General features: G+C 41.6%; 1 long non-coding RNA gene across 1 annotated transcript; it reads left to right on the top strand.

The window, feature by feature from the left end:
• Positions 1 to 10,616: 10,616 nt before the first annotated feature.
• LOC124904375 (uncharacterized) lies at positions 10,617 to 12,137 on the top strand. The gene is made up of 2 exons (XR_007066492.1): positions 10,617 to 11,122; positions 11,921 to 12,137. It is a non-coding gene; the product is annotated as an uncharacterized LOC124904375 (long non-coding RNA).
• Positions 12,138 to 19,526: the final 7,389 nt, after the last annotated feature.

The raw sequence follows: 19,526 nt of genomic DNA on the forward strand, positions 1-19,526 counted from the left end.
TTTAATAAGAACTTGTATTTCAAAGACTTTTTTTGTTACAGTTTTTCTTTACAATTCAGTACATTGGCTGGGTGCAGTGGCTCACGCCTGTAATCCCAGCACTTTGGGAGGCCGAGGCGGGTGGATCACGAGGTCAGGAGATTGAGACCATCCTGGCTAACATGGTGAAACCCTGTCTCTACTAAAAATACAAAAAATTAGCCGGGCGTGGTGGTGGGCGCCTGTAGTCCCAGCTACTCGGAAGGCTGAGGCAGGAGAATGGCGTGAACCCGGTAGGCGGAGCTTGCAGTGAGCCGAGATGGCGCCACTGCACTCCAGCCTGGGCGACAGAGTGAGACTCTGTCTCAAAAAACAAAACAAAACAAAAAACAATTCAGTACATTTGAGGTTTTAACTTTCCTGACACAGGTTCATGTCAACATGTCCTATTTAGCTCAGTTGCACATTGTACTATTCTTTTGAAGTCTAAACTCAAAGAGAGGTACTTGATACAGCTACACTGGCTTCTACAGATCCTCCCTCTCTTTTTCCACATCTGATTCAGTTCAGTTGCAGTCACAGCATAGACATCAGAAAAGCACCAACAGCTGCAAGACCATTAACACTGTAGCAGTCTTGACGGACATTGGTAGCACATATTATTATCAATTGCCACAATAACATTACCTAACAAATAACCCTAAAACTCAGTGGCTTAAAACAATAACCAATTATTACTATTTATACATTTATAAATTGACTGGACAGTTCCAGTCTTGACTGAGTTCAGCAGGGCTCAGGTCTGTGTTCAGGTATGGGTCAATTGTAGCTTTCTTGATTTTAGCTATGCTCTCTCACATGTCTGCAGCTCAGCTGGGCCAACTAGACTGACTCAGCTCTGCTCCACATGGTCTCTCATCCTCTAGCAGCTCAGTACTGGCTTGTTCTCATGATGGAAGCAGGGATCTGAAGGAGAGAGAGAGGTATGTGACACCTCCTAAGGCTTAGCCTCAGACCTAACTTCTATGGCATTCTGTTGGCCAGGGAAGGCCACAAAGCCAGCCCAGATTCAAAGGGTGGGGAAGTAGATTTCTACAACTGCAAAGGGACCATTTCTAAAATAAATCTGCAAATAGCATAATTGCTTATTTGAATGTTGACAGCCACAGAAGACACCACCAAAGTCATCCAGAGAAGTAGAAGAGGCTCTAAGATGATTCCACAGTGTACACAAAAGGATTAATCTCCTGAGCATGTGCAGGCAACACTTGAGGAAGTCAGAACTGCTTGAAAGGATTTTGAAGAGAGTTCATTTTCCTGAAAAGCAAGAGGCAACAGAGCCTGGTTGTCAATGCTATTTGTTCACCCTAGCTGGTGAACTTAAAAATATGGGTGATATGGGAAGGTTTGTAGCACTCATAAAATCTAGGGCTCGGGTGTTGCACCAAAGTTGTGGAACATGCATAGCTCATTTTGTTCACATTACTGAATATTAGACCACATCCTGGGATATGATACGTAAGTGCTATGTAAGTGTGGGTTGCTTTTATGCAGCTTCTATGTGATGTGTATCAACATGTTTCACCAAATTAAGTCTATTGTGTCTGTAGTACCACATGGGATGATTTGAAGCAAACTATGCAGGCTGCTCTTGTCTGAGGAGCTTCCTGGTCACCATATTTCTAGTGCAAACTTCCTTCCTTGAGCCTTGAACTTTGTCAGTCCTTAGCCCTGAACCTGTCTGTCCACTCCTGTTCTGATTCATTTTCATCCCCTTGCCTCTGCTCTTTTGTTTGAGGAAGGAAATAAACCCAGGAAGCAATGCTTAAGAGGCAAAATTCTAAAAACAATCAAACAAACAAAATTCCAGCTGCTACAGTTTAAAGCTCATTAATCCTTGAGGAGAGTGTAAATCACATATCAGTAACATTTTTAGAGGGGGATTTGGCAATATCTATCAGCATTTAAAATGTGTACACCCTTTGTGTAGCAATTCCACTTTGGGGAATTTATAAATAAACTTGCACAAATGTGCAAGTGTGTGAGTGTGTGTGTGTGTCCATAGACATATCATCATACCAACTTATAAAGTGTGTTGATAGCAACATTGTAAGAGCAGGAAGCTAGAAATACATAAATGCCTATCAATAGGGCCTGCTTAAATACATGAAGACACATTCATACACTAAATTACCACACAGCCATTAAAAAGAGTGAGATAGATCTATGTGTCCTGATTCAGAAAGATGTCTAAGACATTGTTAAATTTTAAAAATCAAATTACAGAAGAGTGTAGTATGTTCCTTTTGTGTTTTAAAAAAATTAGGGGTATGTATGTACATATACACTATAATTTTTTCTTTTTTTAACTTCCACTGTAAGTTCAGGGGTACATATGTAGCTTCATTACATAGGTCAACTTGTGTCATGGGGGTGAGCTATTAAGAGTTATGACCTCTGGGGAAGGAGACTGGAAAGTTGTTGGGGGAGGCATTTTTTACTTATTACTCATTTACACTCACGGAAAATTTTTACCAACTTGCATAATTTACACTTACAATTTTAAAATACATTTAAATATAAAACATATAATTAATCCAACAGAGTTATGTAAAGCATCTCCTATGTCCCAAGTCATTTGTATCAGTCTAGGTGCTTAGTTACTGCTGGTAGAAACCACTTTGTCAGTTTGAACATCAAGGGATTTGCTGTAAGATACTGGATAACTCACAGAACTGTTGGGAGAACTGGAGTGTTGAGTTCTAGATCAGACTTCCAGCAACATCTCTTAGAGCCACAGAATTGTGATGAGGAAGTTATCGCCACCACCATCCCAAACCCCCACACTTCCTCTGCCTCTACCCAGGCCCAGCCTTTTAGCACTCATTGTAAACCAAGCCATGCTCAGGTAAATCTGACCTGCAGGACCTAAGTCACACGTCTGTCCTCTATCAGCAAAGGAGGCTAAGAAATATAAGGATTTTTAAAAAAAAATTCTTACTTGAGAAAGTAAAACTCACAATGTGGAAAATACCAAAGTGTGGGGTGTGTTGTTTAAAGATGGGGACAGTTGTAAATGACAGCTATCTACTACACAGTGCTGTAGGTTCTCCCACTGGGATCCTACTCAATTAAGCATATTTTGTCAAGGAAAAAACGTATTCTAAAGTTGAGCTTGTGTCAGACTGAAGATGATTGCTAGCAGTGATCTGAATTATCCCTTAGTTAATCATTCTCTAATTAAGTGTGGGCAGCTTATCTGGCATAGATAATTAGAATTTTAAAGACCACTAAAATATAAGTAAATTCTGTTTTAGATGGTTTTCTCTCTGAGTACTAGAATAGTAATTACAGCTACCATTTATATTACGCTCATTATGTTATTAGGCACCATGCCAAGATCTTTAAACATAAAAAAGTGTGATGGTTAATTTTATGTGTCAACTTGACTGGGCTAGGAAGTGCCAAGATAGCTGGTAAAACATTATTTCTGAAAGTGTCTATGAGGGCATTTCCAGAAGAGATTAACATTTGAATCAGTAGACTGAGTCAAGGAGATTTCCTTCACCAATGTGGGAAGGTATCATCCAATCCGATGATGGCAAAAGTAGAACAAAAAGGCAGAGGAAGAGTGAACTCTCTCTTTCTTCTTTAACCAGGACATCTATCTCCTGCCCTCAGATGTCAGAGCTCTTAGTTCTCCAGCTGAGACTTACAGCTCCCCTAGTTCTCAGGCCTTTGCATTCAAACTGAATTACACTACCAGCTTTTCTTATTCACCAGCTTGCAGACAGCATATTCTCATCTCTCTCTCTCTCTCTCTCTCTCTCTCTCTCTCTCTATCTATCTATCATCTATCTATCTATCTATCTATCTATCTATCTATCTATCTATCATCTATCTATCTATCTATTATCTAGATATCCTGTTGGTTCTGTTTCTCTGGAGAATGCTGATTCACACAAAAGGAAAAAGAATCATTTAAAAAAATATTACAGCAGCCACCAACCCAACACTTACTATATCAATCAGGGCTCAATAAAAGAAACAGGATAAGCAGAAGGTATGTAGTAACAGACTTATGGCAAGGAATTGGCTTATGCAATTGTGGGGTTGGCTAGACAAATCTGAAATCCACAGGGCAGGCTATCAGGAGAGCACCCTGGAACTCTTGGGCATGGGCTGAAGGGGCCATTCCACACATGGAATTTCTTATTTAGGGAAGCTTCAGCTCTGCTCTTTCAGCCTTTAAAGTACTTTAGTCAGGCCCACCCAAATTATCTATAGGATAATCTCTCTTACAAAGTCAACTGATTATGGACTTTAGTCACATCTATGAAATATATTCACAGCAATACCTGTCTTAGTGTTTGCATAACTGGGGATTGTAGCCAAGCTAAATTGACACATAAAACTGACCATTACACCTACTACTACCAGCCATCCAGAAAAAGGTAGGGGACATTTTATTTTAAACAGACTGTTAATAGACTTCTTCAGTTATGTAAATAGGCCATTTGGCACTAAACTAGAATGAGAGTCATTGAGAGAAGAAAGCTTTCCATTCATTCAATTCATTCAACAAGTACAGTAGTTTTTTCCTATAGGAGGAGATATGTTCCAAGAACCCCAGTGAGTGCCCGAAACCACAGGTAGTACCAAACCTGACTGTCATCAGCTGAAACACATTTCTGTTCATGTCTTGCACTCACAAATGTAATGCCTTTTCCATCTTAACTAAGCACTTGTCACACACTGTGGCTGTAATTTTTGCAGTTTGAAGTGCAACAACAAAACTAGTACAAATTTCTTTTTTCTTCTTCACAATTTCACAGACAGAAGATTGATTCTTACCATAGATCTTGGCAACCTCAGTATAGGATTTTCTTTTTTTTTTTCCTTATTAAGCAAAGAACTGTCTCCTTTTTACTTAAAGGAAACACTTTGTGGCTTCTCTTTGGCATATCCAAATTGTTACCATCATTATTCTTGTATTTTGGTGCCATTACTAAGTAAAATAAGAGTTAATTGAACACAACCACTGTGCTACTACAACAAGCCATCTGATAATGAAGCCAGCTACTAAGTAACTAATGGACAGGCAGCATAGGCAGTGTGGAGAAGCTGGACAAAGGGAAGACTCACATCCAGGGCAGGACGGGACAAGATGGTGCAAGGACAGAGCAGGATGGTGCAAGATTTTGTAACACCTAAGGTTCTTGCCTAGCCACGCCAAAAAATTGGTGTGGCGGCTGACTGTGGCAAGTGATAGAGACACGGATGGAGAGAGAGAAAAAGCTGTAGGCTTTATTGAGCAGAGTGAAAGTACAAAGTTTCCACAGCATGGAAGGGGTCCCAAACAGGTAGCCAGAGTTAGATTATACGATTGCCTTTTAAACTCTTTAAGGTGGGAAATACGTGCAGCGGGAAGATGTTACCAGAGCAAGAAACAAAGGCAGTAAATTATTTTGTGACATGTCCTAGATTTTGAGGAAAACCGGAATTGCAATTTAGGTTTTATCTACTTTATGACCTTGCAGTGGCATGGCAAAGGAGACAGGATCTTACAGGACTTTACAAAGTATGTTTACAAGGAATTGGAATTGGAAGTATAGACAAGGTCCGCTGGTCACAGAAAAACGGGCAGTTAACATTCCTTTTACTTTAGTTTCGGGGGAGAGGGAAGGGAGAGAGGGAGAGAGGACACAGGGAAATTTACAGCAAAATTTTTGCTGTTTACAGCTTTCTTGGGGAAGAAAACACATGCACAAATCCCTTTGTTAGGAATATTTTAAGCATATATCTTCAGTATTATTCATCCAGGACTGAACTAAGTCCTGAGGCAGGAAATGAGTGAGTTTCACAGCTTTCTGAGCCCCTACTTGACCCAGGAAGCCCAGCTGGCCCCTCCTCTCAATTTGATCACACTACTAACAATAGTGTGCAACTTAAAACTTATAAATTGTTTATTTCTGGAATTTTTTATTTAATATTTTCAGACCTCAGCTCACCATGGGTAACTGCAACTGTGGAATGCAGTGCCTTACTGTGTGCCATTGTTCTTGGTGTTTGGGATACATCAGGAAATAAAATAGACAAAGATTCCTGCCTCCATGAAATTTATATTCTTTGTATAATAAACTGGTGGCAATTTTGAGGTTTTTTTAATTTTAATTATTTTTCTTTTGAGACAGGGTTTCACTCTGATTTGCTGAGGCTGGAGTGCAGTGGCCCAAACTCAGCTCACTGCAGCCTTCACCTCCCTGGCTCAAATGATCTTCCCACCTTAGCCTCCTGAGTAGCTGGGATTACAGGCACACTCCAACACACCCAGCTAATTTTTTGTATTTTTTTTATAGAGATGGGGTTTTGCCATGTGGCCCAGGATGGTCTTGAACTCCTGAGCTGAAGTGGTCCACCCGACTTGGCTTCCCAAAGTGCTGGGATTACAGACATAAGCCACCATAACCCCCCAGGGGCAATTTTGAGTTTTCCATTGGCAGTTGGAGGAGATTGAAGTTTAGAGGCCCAGGATCCAAGAAAAAAGCTAAGAAAGACAGATATGGGGGAAAGATGGATTCCAACATAGTGACAATTTGGGATTAAGAAAATGATGACCAGTGAGAAATCCCTTTGTGTTACTCACAGATGGCTATTAAGAATAATGAAACCCAGTAGTCCAATTTCCTGCTCTATTGTATTATCCTCTGTTATCCTCAAAGCATCTGCTGAAGTGAGTGACACACCCAGCTTTGAGTTAATAAAGTGTGGTAGTGCCTATGAATGCAGCAAACTGGTGCAGACAAGGACAGCAGTCACAGGAGGTAAGGGGTTTGCAGGTGGTGAAGGAAGGGGATGGGAAGGGGGTGTCAGGTATTCAGCAAGAGTATTGTATGAGTCAGGATTCTCCAGAGACAGAACCAGTAGGAGAGGAGATATGTTACACACACACACAAACACACACACACACACGAAGTCATGTATTGCTTAACAATAAGGATACATTATGAGAAATGCATCATTAGGCAATTTCGTTATTGTGTGAACATCACAGAATATACTTACACAACCCTAGATGGAATTGCCTTCTATACATCTAGGCCATATGATTTAGCCTACTGTTCCTAACTTATAAACCTGTACAGCATGTTATTATACTGACTACTCTAGGCAATTGTAACACAATGGTAACTATTTGTGTATCTAAACATAGAAAAGGTACAGTGAAAATATGATGGTATTGTAATCTTAGAGGACACCATCATATATACAGTCTGTCACTGAATGAAGCATCATTATGGGTGCATGACTGTGTGTGTATATGTATATACACATATCTATATACATACACATCTATGAGTTAGGAGATTTATTTCAAGGAATTGGCTTACATAATTGTGGAGGCTGGTAAGTCCAAAATCTATAGGGCAGGTCAGCAGATCAGAAACCCTCCATCAGGAGCTGATGCTACAGTCTTAGGCAGATTTACTTCTCCCTACAGGAAACCTGTTTTGTTCTTAAGGCCTTAATGCCTTCCGAGTGGTTGGATCAGGCCTACCCACATTATCTAGGCAATTGCCTTTATTCAGATTCAATGGATTGTAGATGTGAACCACATCCACAAAATGCCTTCATAGCAACACTTAGATTTATGTTTAATAGACTAACTGGTTACTATAATCTGGCCAGGCTGACACATAAACCTAAACATCACAGGCAGGAAATTCAGAGTGATGCCCAGAAGAATCTAAGCCCCACAGGAGTCCTCTGAATATTGAGAACAGAACCAGATGTTTGTAAGATAGAACTTGAGACCATTTGTCTGTTAGTGTGTTAAAAAAAAAAAAAAAAGATCAACACTTGGAAACAGGCAGCAGGATGACCGCATTTCCTGTGAGTACCCTTCTGGAGCACCATCTAGTAGGTCCACCCAAGGATTAGCTCATTCTCTGGAGGCATGCACACTTGTTTCACACACTGTTTACTATTGATTAAGAGATTCTACAACCCTGTCAGGGGGAAGGTAATATGTTGAAAATGATTCTTATCTGTCTGCAATGCAAATATTTTCTGTCTCATAATAATGAAAACAATTTCCACCCATAGGAAATATAATTCCCAAAAGTTACAGTCTTATTGACCTGTGGATTATTAGCCAGTGTTGTTACTTAATTTAGCAATGTTATTCTAGTATTATTTCTTTCTGACAATAAATATTTCTCTCTCTACCAGGCTCCTTTGTACCAGTTTTACAATTCTGATGCTTCCATCATTAATGAGTTTAAAAGGTCTCTGACACATGTACATTCTATGTATGAGAGGTCTGTTTTTAGCTTTTGAAAATTGTGCTTTGACAAAAGGAAAGGGTAAAGGACCCCAGAAGGCTGAATAACTTTGGAGTATTTGGATGGTACTTACCTTATCCTGATTTTCATAAAACACAGCAGCTTAATATGATTATTACTATTTTAATAAGTAAAGAAATAGAGACTCTCTAAAGTTAAAAATTTGCCCAGAACTATATAAATAATATGTGGTGGAGCTAGGAGCTGCTGGGGCTCAGAACACACATCAAAATATGACTATAAGAGATCAGAGTATACCACCTCAAAAAATATTTCTTTTGTATATTTTGAGCAGGTTATTTTGAGAAACTGCAGACACAGTGGTAGCTCTGAAAAGCTGCCCTTTTGTAAATGTCAGAGGCGTTTGAACCAGAGCAACTCCATCTTGACTAGTTGCTAGGTAAAATGAGGCTGAGACCTGCTGGGCTGCATTCCCAGGAGGCGAAGCATTGTAAGTTATAGGATGATAGGAGGTCAGCACCAGATACAAGTCACAAAGACCTTGCTGATAAAATAGGTTGTGGTAAAGAAGACAGCCAAAACCCACCAAATCAAGAGGACAAGGAAAGTGACCTCTGGTCGTCCTCCCTGCTCATTATATGTTAACTGTAATGCATTAGCATGTTAAAAAACACTTCCACAGTGCTGCGATGGCAATGTCAGGAAGTTAACCTATATGGTCTAAGAAGGGGAGGAACTCTCAGTTCTGGGAATTGCTCAGCTTTTTCCCAGAAAACTCATAAATAATCCTCCCCTTGTTTAGTATATAATCAAGAAATAACTATAAGTATTATCAGCCAAGAAGCCCAAGCTGCTGTTCTGCCTATGGAGTAGCCATTCTTTTATTCCTTTACATTCTTAGTAAAGTTGCTTTCACTTTACTCTGTGGACTTGCCTCGAATTCTTTCTTGAGCAAAGTCCAAGAATCCTCTCTTGGGGGTCCAGATTGGGAAACCTTTGTTGTAACATTATAGCAGAAACATGAATCGAAGACGTTCTAGAAGTCTAAATCTTTATGCTATGCATGAATCTCTTCTATAAGACTCTTAATAGTAGTTACTCTCTTCAGTCTGACAGGACCTTCTTAATCATGTTGTCAGGGCCAAACAAAAACTTCCACTTCACCCTCTGAAGGTCTGCCAAAAAATCAACCGAAATAAGGCAGATTAATTGGAGAAAAGACATACAAATTTATTAATGTGCACGCAGGGGAGAGTCACAGAATAATTGCCCAATATCCCAGTGAGGCTCAAATACTTATTTAGCCTTATTTCAGAGTAAAGGGGGAAGATGGGGAATAAAGATAATTCTGTTTAAAGGCAATAAATGATTACTAGGGAGAATGAATGGGTCTAGCAACAGAGATTAACTTGTAAATGTTTCTCTTTGGAAATTGAGCCTGAGAGAGGGACATTATCTTGTGAATGCACCTGTTCAGGCGTGATTACCTTCTTGGTCTTCTTTTCTGTGACAGATAATGAGAAAACCTGAAGAGGAAGGAAAAACAGTGTTCTCTTTGGTGGGTCCCTTCAGTTTTTATGTAGATAGGGGAAAAATCTCCTCCAGAATCTGTTGATTTCTAAAGGTCTTTCATTTAAAACACTCATTACACCAGGGGGTCATATTTTAGAATGAAGTTTTCTGTGCTCCTTCAATGTTCTCACAGTTTATTTTCTTTTCTGGCTCAGCCTTAGTATTCTCACCATTCTTGAAAATGTCACACACTTCAGATCGTCAGCCTCCTAGACACTAGACCTTGATCATTTTGTGAATATCACTCTTCAGGTATGACATCCTGAATTGCATATGATAACAATCTAGATTGGGCTGATAAATGAAATCTAGAGAACTATCAATCACCTTTCTTATTACAGAAAATGTTTCTTTATTTGGCCTATGATTGAATTAACTTTCTTGATAGTTTTGATAATTGATGGTAAATACTACTTTTGCATGCAAACAAAAAAAATCATGTTCTTTACATAGATATTATTTGTTTCACTACTTCTGGTTTTCTCCAGTCTTTTTGGCAGAAATGAAACAGAAATATGTGGCACAGATTTAAGAAATTCATGAAAGGAGGGCAGCAGCTCAGTGCAGTCTCTGTATTTATTTGGTTTACAGAAAAGGAAAGATATCCTTTGTAAAGTAGTTAAGCTAAGGCAGCCAGCTGTAAAGGGTCCTAGAGGACAAAAGATACGTAAAAAACAGAGACCACAATTTGATTAACATAGCCTAGGAAATATATTAATGCAGATAGTCATTTGAAAGTTTCAAACTGAATTCCTGAACTGTCAAAATAAAATATTGCAATGACAAAAAATAAAACTGTATTTTTCAAAACAAACCTGAATTTTGAAAATAAGCCATTTGTGTTTGGTTCCAAAAGAAGTTTAATTACAGGGGGAGCTACTTGTTTTAACAGCTGGATGCTAATGAATGCATGAGGACAATGATAATACATGTAAATGCAATAAAGTCATCCTTCATAGCAAGAATAGAACTAACCTCACCTGAAATTGGGGCATCTAGCTGAGTATATCAGGATTCTTCTGGTTGCAGAACCTATTCAAACTTGTTCGTCAGACAGAGGTTTCATCTGCCTGCAGGAAGTGTTCCTGGACGTAACCAAGGGTCAGGCTGCTTATTCTCATGGCCCAATAATGAGATGCAGATGAACTGGGAAAGAAGAGAGTTTATTTCTGCAACCAGCTTCAGGGAGAAGGCCAGGAAAATATTGCCAGACCAGCTCAAAATTACAAAGTTTTCCAAAGCTCATGTACCTTCTAAGTCTACGTGTAAGTGTGCATTCATCTAAAGACATAAGTGAGTAACTTTTTCTAATCTATAACTAAGGTCTGAGTCCTGAAGATCCTCTTCCAGAGCCTCAGTAAATTTAATCTAGATGGGTCCAGGTGCCGGGAGTGATTACCCTTATCTTGTCTCCTGCTAAATCATGGAGGTTTGGGGAGTTCTTAATAAAATTTGTTTGTGGAGGTCTGGGGAGTTTCTTCAGACCCCCAGTAAAATTTGTTTAATCCTAAACAGGTCCTGGTAAGAATTCCTTTCTTATCTTGTCATGCTTCAAGGCCCATGTCAGCCTGAGCGAGACTCTTGGTGGGCCTTTATTACTCATTCCAGCCTCTATGTAAAGACTCTGGCTCTCTCAGCCTTTAATATTTAACCTAACCATTCAGTCAGTGCTGAAACAGTTGTTAAGGAGTCCTGCCTGTTCAGCCTTTTTGAGACCTGGTCTGCCACAGAAGGGCCCCAGGGTTGCCCATCAAGCTCCTTTGCAAGTTGGCATCCATTTATTTTGCACTGTGATACAGTCATCCTATAGGCTGACATCTCTACACCCAGAGATCTGAGGCTCACAAAGTAATTTCTGGAAGATGCTCCCATTGGTCCATCTTAGTGATGAGAACAGGAGACAGAAAAATTCTAGGCAGAAAAGGGCAGGGTCCCTGGCCAGGACCCCACCCACAGGCCTGGAACCGCAGACCAAAGTGAGAACTTTACATCCATTTTCCTGCTTGAATGTTGCCTTTTCCAAAACCACCCCACCCCTAATCCTGTACCCATAAAAACCCCAGGCTCCACTGGCAGACAGCAGAGAAGGGGAGAAGAGGAGAAGCAGCTGGACATTGAAGACTCTGGTTTGACATAAGAGAGAAGCAGCTTCACTTCAGAGGGACAACTTGACATTGGGACATCAGGGGAAGAATGCCTTCTTCCTACTCCATCCCCTTTCCAGCTCCCCCTCTCACTGAGAGCCACTTCCATCAGCAATAAAATCCCCCACATTTACTATCCTTGAATTTGTGCAACCTGGTTTTTCCTGGACACCAGACAAGAGCTTGGGATACAGAAAACTGTCACACTAACCATCTGCCCTCATGAAAAGGCAGAGGGTCCACTGAGCTATTAAACACTGAAGCTGTCTGCAGACAGCAAAGCTAAAAGAGCACTGTAACACACTCCCTCTGGTGCTTCAGGGGTAACAGGTAGTCCCGTAGACACCGCCATCAGGCTACACGGAGTTTTGCTCCTTCCAGTACCCAAAAGCACTCACTCCAGCTTCTGCACCTGCTCACCTGCATGCTCCCCCTCCCACGAGGGGTTGAAAGCTGCGGGCTGAGTAAGTGAGGCACCCCTGTCACAAGGCTTGAGAAGGGATCAAGGAAAATTTCCTGTTTCATTATGCTTTGTTCATGCCTATCTCTGGACAAGCAACTATGGCCAGGGAAAAGGGGTTGTACAATATGTTCAGGAGAAGAGAAGAAGCTACTCTTTTGGCCATTTTGAACAATAGCCAATTCACCACACAGCATAATTAATGGTTTAGAATTTTTTCTTCTTTTATTTTTTTCTTTCTGTAGAGACAGTATCTCATTGTGTTGCCCAAGCTGGTCTCGAACTCTTGGACTCAAGCAATCATCCTGCCTCAGCCTCCCAAAGTGCTGGGGTTATAGGCATGAGCCAACACGCCCTGCCTAGAATTTCATTTCTATTCATTAAAAATACATCAAATGGTTTTTATATTACAGTAAAATCACTATTTCAAATGATTATTCCATATATTTTATGTGCAAAATTAAGAGCTGCCATATTGTCTTTAAAGGCCTGCAGGTATAGAAAGGACTCACTGCTTTTTATGAACACATCTCTCCTATTCACACCTCCAAGAGTTATTGCTTCTTGGTAACCCTCCATTAAGCGTTTGATTAAGTTCAAGGTGATTAGATTATTAACACTTTAGTCATGGTCTGGTTGGCTTATCCCCCTACCCCTCTCCATTCTTTTAATCACTGCTCTATTCATCCACTCAACAAATATTTAATGAGTGCCTATTATATGCCAATTCTATAGATACTAAACATAAATAGAGATAAATAAAGCATGATCTCTGCATTTAAGGGCTATACCAAAGATGGGACATCAGACAAATAAACAGATTATTATAATACTGTGTAAGGGCCAAGTCCCCTTCATCCTCTGAAAGTTCACTGAAAATCAACTGACAAAAAGTAGACTAATACAAGAAAAAGCACACATTCTATTAACATGCTATAGGCGTCTTACAAAATAAGATCTCTTAAAAAGGCAAATGATTGACCCACTTATGCCATGTCGAGGTTACAGAACTAATAGGTGTCTGGATCATGGCAAAACTAATTACAGGAGGGGGAGAAGAGGAGGCCTGGCTAGCAAAGGTGATCTTGTTCTGTGGATGAAACCTCACAGGCCTCAGCCCTCAGAAAGAATAGATGGTAAATGTTTATTTTAGGCTTTTAAAGGTGTCAGACTCTTGGCCAATCTTTCCTAGATCTGACAAAGCCTGGCTGCATCAATGTAGATTCTCTACAGATGCAAATCACCGCCTCAACACACAGTTTTACAGAGCTGCTTCTGTTTGCAGACCCTCTGAATGTTACAGGTAGTTAGACAGGCATGAGCTGGGCAGGAGAGGGCTCTCCTCAACCCACCAGGAATGTCAGGTGATGATTCAACGATTAGCACATTGCTTCTCTACAGATGATAATTTGGCAGCAGGCACCAGGGAGAAGCAAAAATAACTTCCAATAAAATCTCAGGTATTGGGTGAATGAGTCTAGACACGTAGATTAGGAGACAAAATGGCAGAGCATGACCTTCCGGGGGCAGTCCACCAGAAAAGAGAAGAAGACCTGAGATGTGCCTGTGTACAACCTCCTGAATACACTGCGTGTGCTCACTTCCCAAGCATAAGGAGGGCACTCCACATGCAGGCAGCCCACCCTAAGGGAAGAATCATGGGAAAGGGGGACGTGAGAAGCAGGAGGTCGGCCAGCCTATAAAGTCCTGGGATCAAGGTTAAACACCACTCTTGACCTCGATGCCTCGTTGGGTCTCTTCCAAGTGTATTTTTCTTTCTTTCCTGTTCTAAGGTCTTTTTAAATAAACTTCCACTCCTCCTCTGAAACTTGCCTTTGTCTCTTTTTCTGGCTATTCCCCTCAGTCGAATTCTCTCTTCTGAGGAGGCAAGAGTTGAGGTTGCTGCAGACCCATATGGATTCGCCACCGGTAAGTCAGATACCTGCCATGAGACTCAGATATTTGCCACCAGTAACATGAACGGACATTTCAAAATATGTCAAAGAAGTGTATCTTGAGGGGAAGTAGAATATTCTCCTTCAACTGTACTGTATGATAAGTGCTGTGATAGGTCTTTTCTATTTTTCACTAGTCTCTGGGCCACAAGGAACAATCTGTCCCTTTGCATCTCAAAATGCTTGCTCATCCTACTCAGTTAGAAATTAAATAATTCAAACTTAAAATAATTCAAATATAAAGCTGTTAGAACTTTTCATTATTCTGAGCCTTGGGAGGAATGTGGCTATGCAGCCTGAATCATGTACTCAGTAGCTACAATTTCTGCCTTTCATATCTGTAAATAATTAGGAAGAACAAGTGGCACCAGAGATAAGACCCCTTCATATCACTGCCCCTCCTCATGGAGTAATAAGGTAATCTTCCTTGGAATGTAGCAATCTGCAACCAATCAAATTGCTGTGGTGTATGCACTGGTCTTATATGGAAAATGCAATCTTGCTGGAACTTCTCTGTCTGCCTACATAAGTGAAACCTTAACTTCTCCACTTCTGTACTCCAAATGACTGCTGACCCCATTCATTTGGAGTTGGTGTTTCCAAGTGACCATCCTAAAGCTTTGCACTAGAAAAAACTCCATTCTGAATCATATATTTTTTTCCAAATGGGATCTCACTCTGTTGCCCAGGCTGGAGTGCAGTGGTATAATCACAGCTCACTTCAGCCTTGACTTCTCAAGCTCAAGTAATCCTCCCACCTCAGCCTCTTGAGTAGCTGGGACTACAGGTGCCTGCCACCACACTCAGCTAATTTTTAAATTTTTCTGTAGAGAGGGGGTCTCACTATGTTGCCCAGGTTTGTTTTGAACTCTTGGATTTGATCAGTCCTCTTACCTCAGCCTCTCAAAGTGCTGGTATTAGAGGTATGAGCCACCACACCTGGCCCCAATCATATTCTTTGAATCTCATTATTTAAGGTTAACACCAGTGATGTCTACATCTTTTCAAGCAGGGACTAACTTCTATTCACAATTATAGATAAGGATTAAGGTGAAAACACCCTTGAGGACTAAGCGTTTTAAATTCACACTGAGGTAAAATGAGTGATTTTATATCCTTTCTTGTAAGCAAGTTCCCCCACCCCTGCTCTCTGCCTGCTGTCTAGAAGAAGTAAAACCAGGAGTCCTCTGTGAAATTACCACTAACCAGGCACCATCTTAACGTGTTGTTAAACATCATCTGTTTTCCTCTGGGTACTAGCAGTCACTGAGTTCTCTCTTACTGAAAAAGCGAAGTTGCGTATTTCATTCACTTGCTTTTATGAGTCCTTTGGCTCTTCTAGGCTTTCTTTTTTTGATTTAACCAGCCCACAAACTAAAGTGAGTATCTATTAATATTTCCCCAGACCACTATTCAAGGAAATGAACCACTTGACATTAATCATGATGGCAGAACTCCTTGACTGACAGTCTTTTCTCAGAATTCATGAGGCTACAGTGCCTGTGGGTCACTGCTGTGCAAACTTTGCTAACCAAGACATTCCCTGAGGAGTTTGTGAGCAGTTTGTTAGCAAGTCATGTCCCTCAAGGGCTCTAATTGAGTGGGTCTGGGGAAGGACCCAGAAATCTGTAGTGTTACCAAACCTACCGGCTGATTCTGGAGCTGGTGTTCCAAGGAACAAATTTCAAAAAACCTTGCAATATAGGGTTTTTTTTTTTCTTATTAATGGGGTAAATTTAAGTATTTAATTAATGGGGTAAATTCATCCATTCATTCAAGTACTTATCAAGCACTTTCTATGTGCCTCCTAACTTGATTTTTTATTGCTAATTATTTTTAATTTAAACTCCATTGTCAAGTTTCACTTTTCTTAGGAGAGTTGCCAAGGGTGAGGCTTATAAGAGACAAAGTGGAATTGGCTGCGAGAGTGGTCACTTCAGCTGCAGGCGAGGAGGTGGGAGGGATGACATCCAGGCGGTTGGAAACCATCTGGTAGGAAGCAAACCCAATGATGACCCTCACCTAAGGAACTTGGCTATTTGTGTAAGCGTCCAGAGGGAGTGATCCCTGGCCCCATAACGTGCTGAGGCAATTTCAAGAGTTACGAGAGGATGAAGATTTCAACATGTGTGATCAGAAAGTTGAATGAGATCTTTGTCTGGGCAGCTAGCAGGCCTTCTTCTGTTTTCTTTACTATTATACTGTGACTAACGATTGGGTGTTTGGTTTTGGTTATAACTTGAAAATTGTTGTGATCCATGTGAAGTAATGTCTTGTGAATATTCCACATGGATGCAGCCCCTACATCGTCAGATCTCTCCAGGTATTTCGGAAAGATTTTAATCCCTCAGCTTAAACACAAGTTCCGTTTTAGGGCCAATCCCCAGATGGAGGAGTTAGATGTACATTCCTTCAAAGAGGCCCCAGCCAGCCACCCCAAGGTTTGGAGCCCGTGAGTGAGAAAGTCTGGAACTTTTGGCTGCTTGGTTTCATTTTTTTAGTTTTCTTTTTGGGAGTGGTGGTAGAATTTTACAAAGACTTGGTGGGGGAAGACGGGAAGAGAGCTGTCCCAGAAAGGAAGATTTTATACTCCATACCATCTTCTGACTTTCCCTTTTTAAATGGTCTTGTGATTTGTCTCCAGAGAAGAGTTGGGTAAGTCAAAACCATGAGAGAGAGAGAGTGAGAGAGTGTGTGTGTGTGTGTGTGTGTGTGTGTGATCTCTGTGTTTGTGAGGGGAGGGAGCATATGAGTGAGTGGGAGGTAGCATTCCTAAATCTGCTGTATTAGTCAGTTTCCATGCTGCTGATAAAGGGATACCTGAGACTGGGAAGAAAAAGAGGTTTAATTGGACTTACAGTTCCACATGGTTGGGGAGGCCTCAGAATCATGGCGGGAGGTTAAAGGCACTTCTTACATGGCGGCAGCAAGAGAAAATGAGGAAGAAGCAAAAGTGGAAACCCCTGTTAAACCCATCAGACCTCCTGAGACTTATTCACTATAGGAGAATAGCATGGGAAAGACCAGCTCCCATGATTCAATTACCTCCCCACGGGTCTCTCCCACAATACGTGGTAATTCTGGGAGATACAATTCAAGCTGAGATTTGGGTGTGGACACAGCCAAACCATATCACCTACCATCAGGTGCCCCATCCTCTGTCTGCAGTACAGAATGTGCCTTGTGTTTGGCTTGCCCTCTGTAACTGTGGAATGTTCAGAGTCCTCCTTCTTGAAGTAGATGGAGAAAAAAGATTTCAGCTGGGATAAAGGAAAATAACAGACTACAAAAAACCAGCCAGGAAAGGGAATCCCCATGGGCGATGTAGTCTCACCTAGCTGCTAAGCAGCAGAGCCTGTGTTCTTCCCACCCCACCATAATAAATGGGGATGCCCATGAGGACATGCCACCCACACGGGAAGGTGGCACACATGAGGGCTCAGTCCTGGGCCCTTCAGGCAAATGGGCATGCAGACACGTAGGCTTTGCCTTCCAAGGAGTTTTGCCCATGAGTACCCTCCACCTTCACTCCTTCCACTGCCATTCCAATCATTAGCACAGCTCAGGGGATGTTCCCGCTCCCAGGGAAGCTCTCTGGCAGCCTCACTTGACAGCTGCACTAATATAGATTTGCAGGGCAAGACCAGCTTCCTTGGCATGACCTGCAAGCTGCCACGGGGTCTTATGCTTAGAAGGGCCCTGCGTTTGGTTCAATGCTCTGCTATCACCATCTCGAAATTCTTAATAATTTTTTAACATGCAAATCGCATCAGCAGGGCTGCTTGCCAGGTCAGGAGGATGCTTCAGGCTCTGTGAAAATCTTCAGTGGAGGGAGCGAGGGGGTCTTCCTGTCTTGTCCCCACTAACAGAATAGGTCTGTGAATCTCTATTAGATTTGTTCCTCATCATCTGTCTTCTCCCTCCTTCCTACAGGAACAGGACCTAGAAAGAAGAGGGGCAGCTTTGTTGGAATTTATTGCTGGTTCTGGTAAGATCAGGAAGCGGGAGTGGGGGGATGGAGGAAAATAATGAGTGTTGGGACTGAATGAAACTTAATTAGGGGAGGTGACAAGAAATGGCCCTGTGAACAGGCCTCAAACACAGGGATGAGTACTGCTCAGCGAGGCAGAGGCCAGCCACCTGTGGGATGAGCACCTGCATGGCCACCTTTACCAACAGACTCTCCTTCTCCTTCTCAGCACAGGCCCTGGCCCGGGTCCCAGGGACATCAGGGCCCAGAGACCTCACGTGGCTTGTCCTCACCTGGCTTGCCTAGGTTTGAGGTGTTGCTCAAGACAGAGCCTTTGCTGCTGCCCCTGAACACTGCCTGCCAGCACCCCAGCCCACCACCCTGACCTCATCACCCCGGAAAGGAGCAAGCTCATCAAATAGGACAGTGCTTGGGGTCTTCGCCAGTAGCTAGCACTGGCTGCTGTTTATGAGCATCTGTTATACACAAGGCAGTGGAGCATTCTCACATTTAATCCTCAACACAGTGCTATCAGGTAAGTTATATTATCCTCCTCATTTCACACATGAGAAAGCTGATGTTCAGGGGGATATATATGACTTTCTAGGGTTGACAGAGCTTATGTCTGAATTCAGGTTTTTCTGACAACAGAAAACAGTTACACTCAGCTGAACTTAATCCTGAATGAACTTAATTGACTTTTCCCCGTTAGATTTTATTGTCTCTCTAATATCTACCCTTCTTATGGGGCCTTTATGGCTGATAAGAATCTCATATCAGTTACAGGTACATAAACATGTGTGTCAGTCACGTGCCTCCTCTGCCTCCCTGTGGCATGTGCAGGGGGCCATGGTTTTATCCCCTGTAACCCTGAGAGATCAGGAGAAGAAAGTCTCCTTGTCTTTTCAAATGGTGCTCTTACTCTCTGTTCAACCATCTTGCTCACACCTGGTTAGTGAGAACCCTTAGTGATGGTGACAGTGATGATGATGGCTAACATTTATTAAGCACACTTCACCAGCATCTTCTCACTTAATATTCACAAGAACCCTGGGAGGTAGACACTGTCATCGCATCCATTTTCAGATGATGAAACTGAGGAACGGAGACATTAAGTGCCAAGTTCATACAACTAGACAT

The sequence above is a fragment of the Homo sapiens genome, chromosome 1, assembly GCF_000001405.40.
Source record: "Homo sapiens chromosome 1, GRCh38.p14 Primary Assembly".
Lineage (NCBI taxonomy): Eukaryota > Metazoa > Chordata > Mammalia > Primates > Hominidae > Homo > Homo sapiens.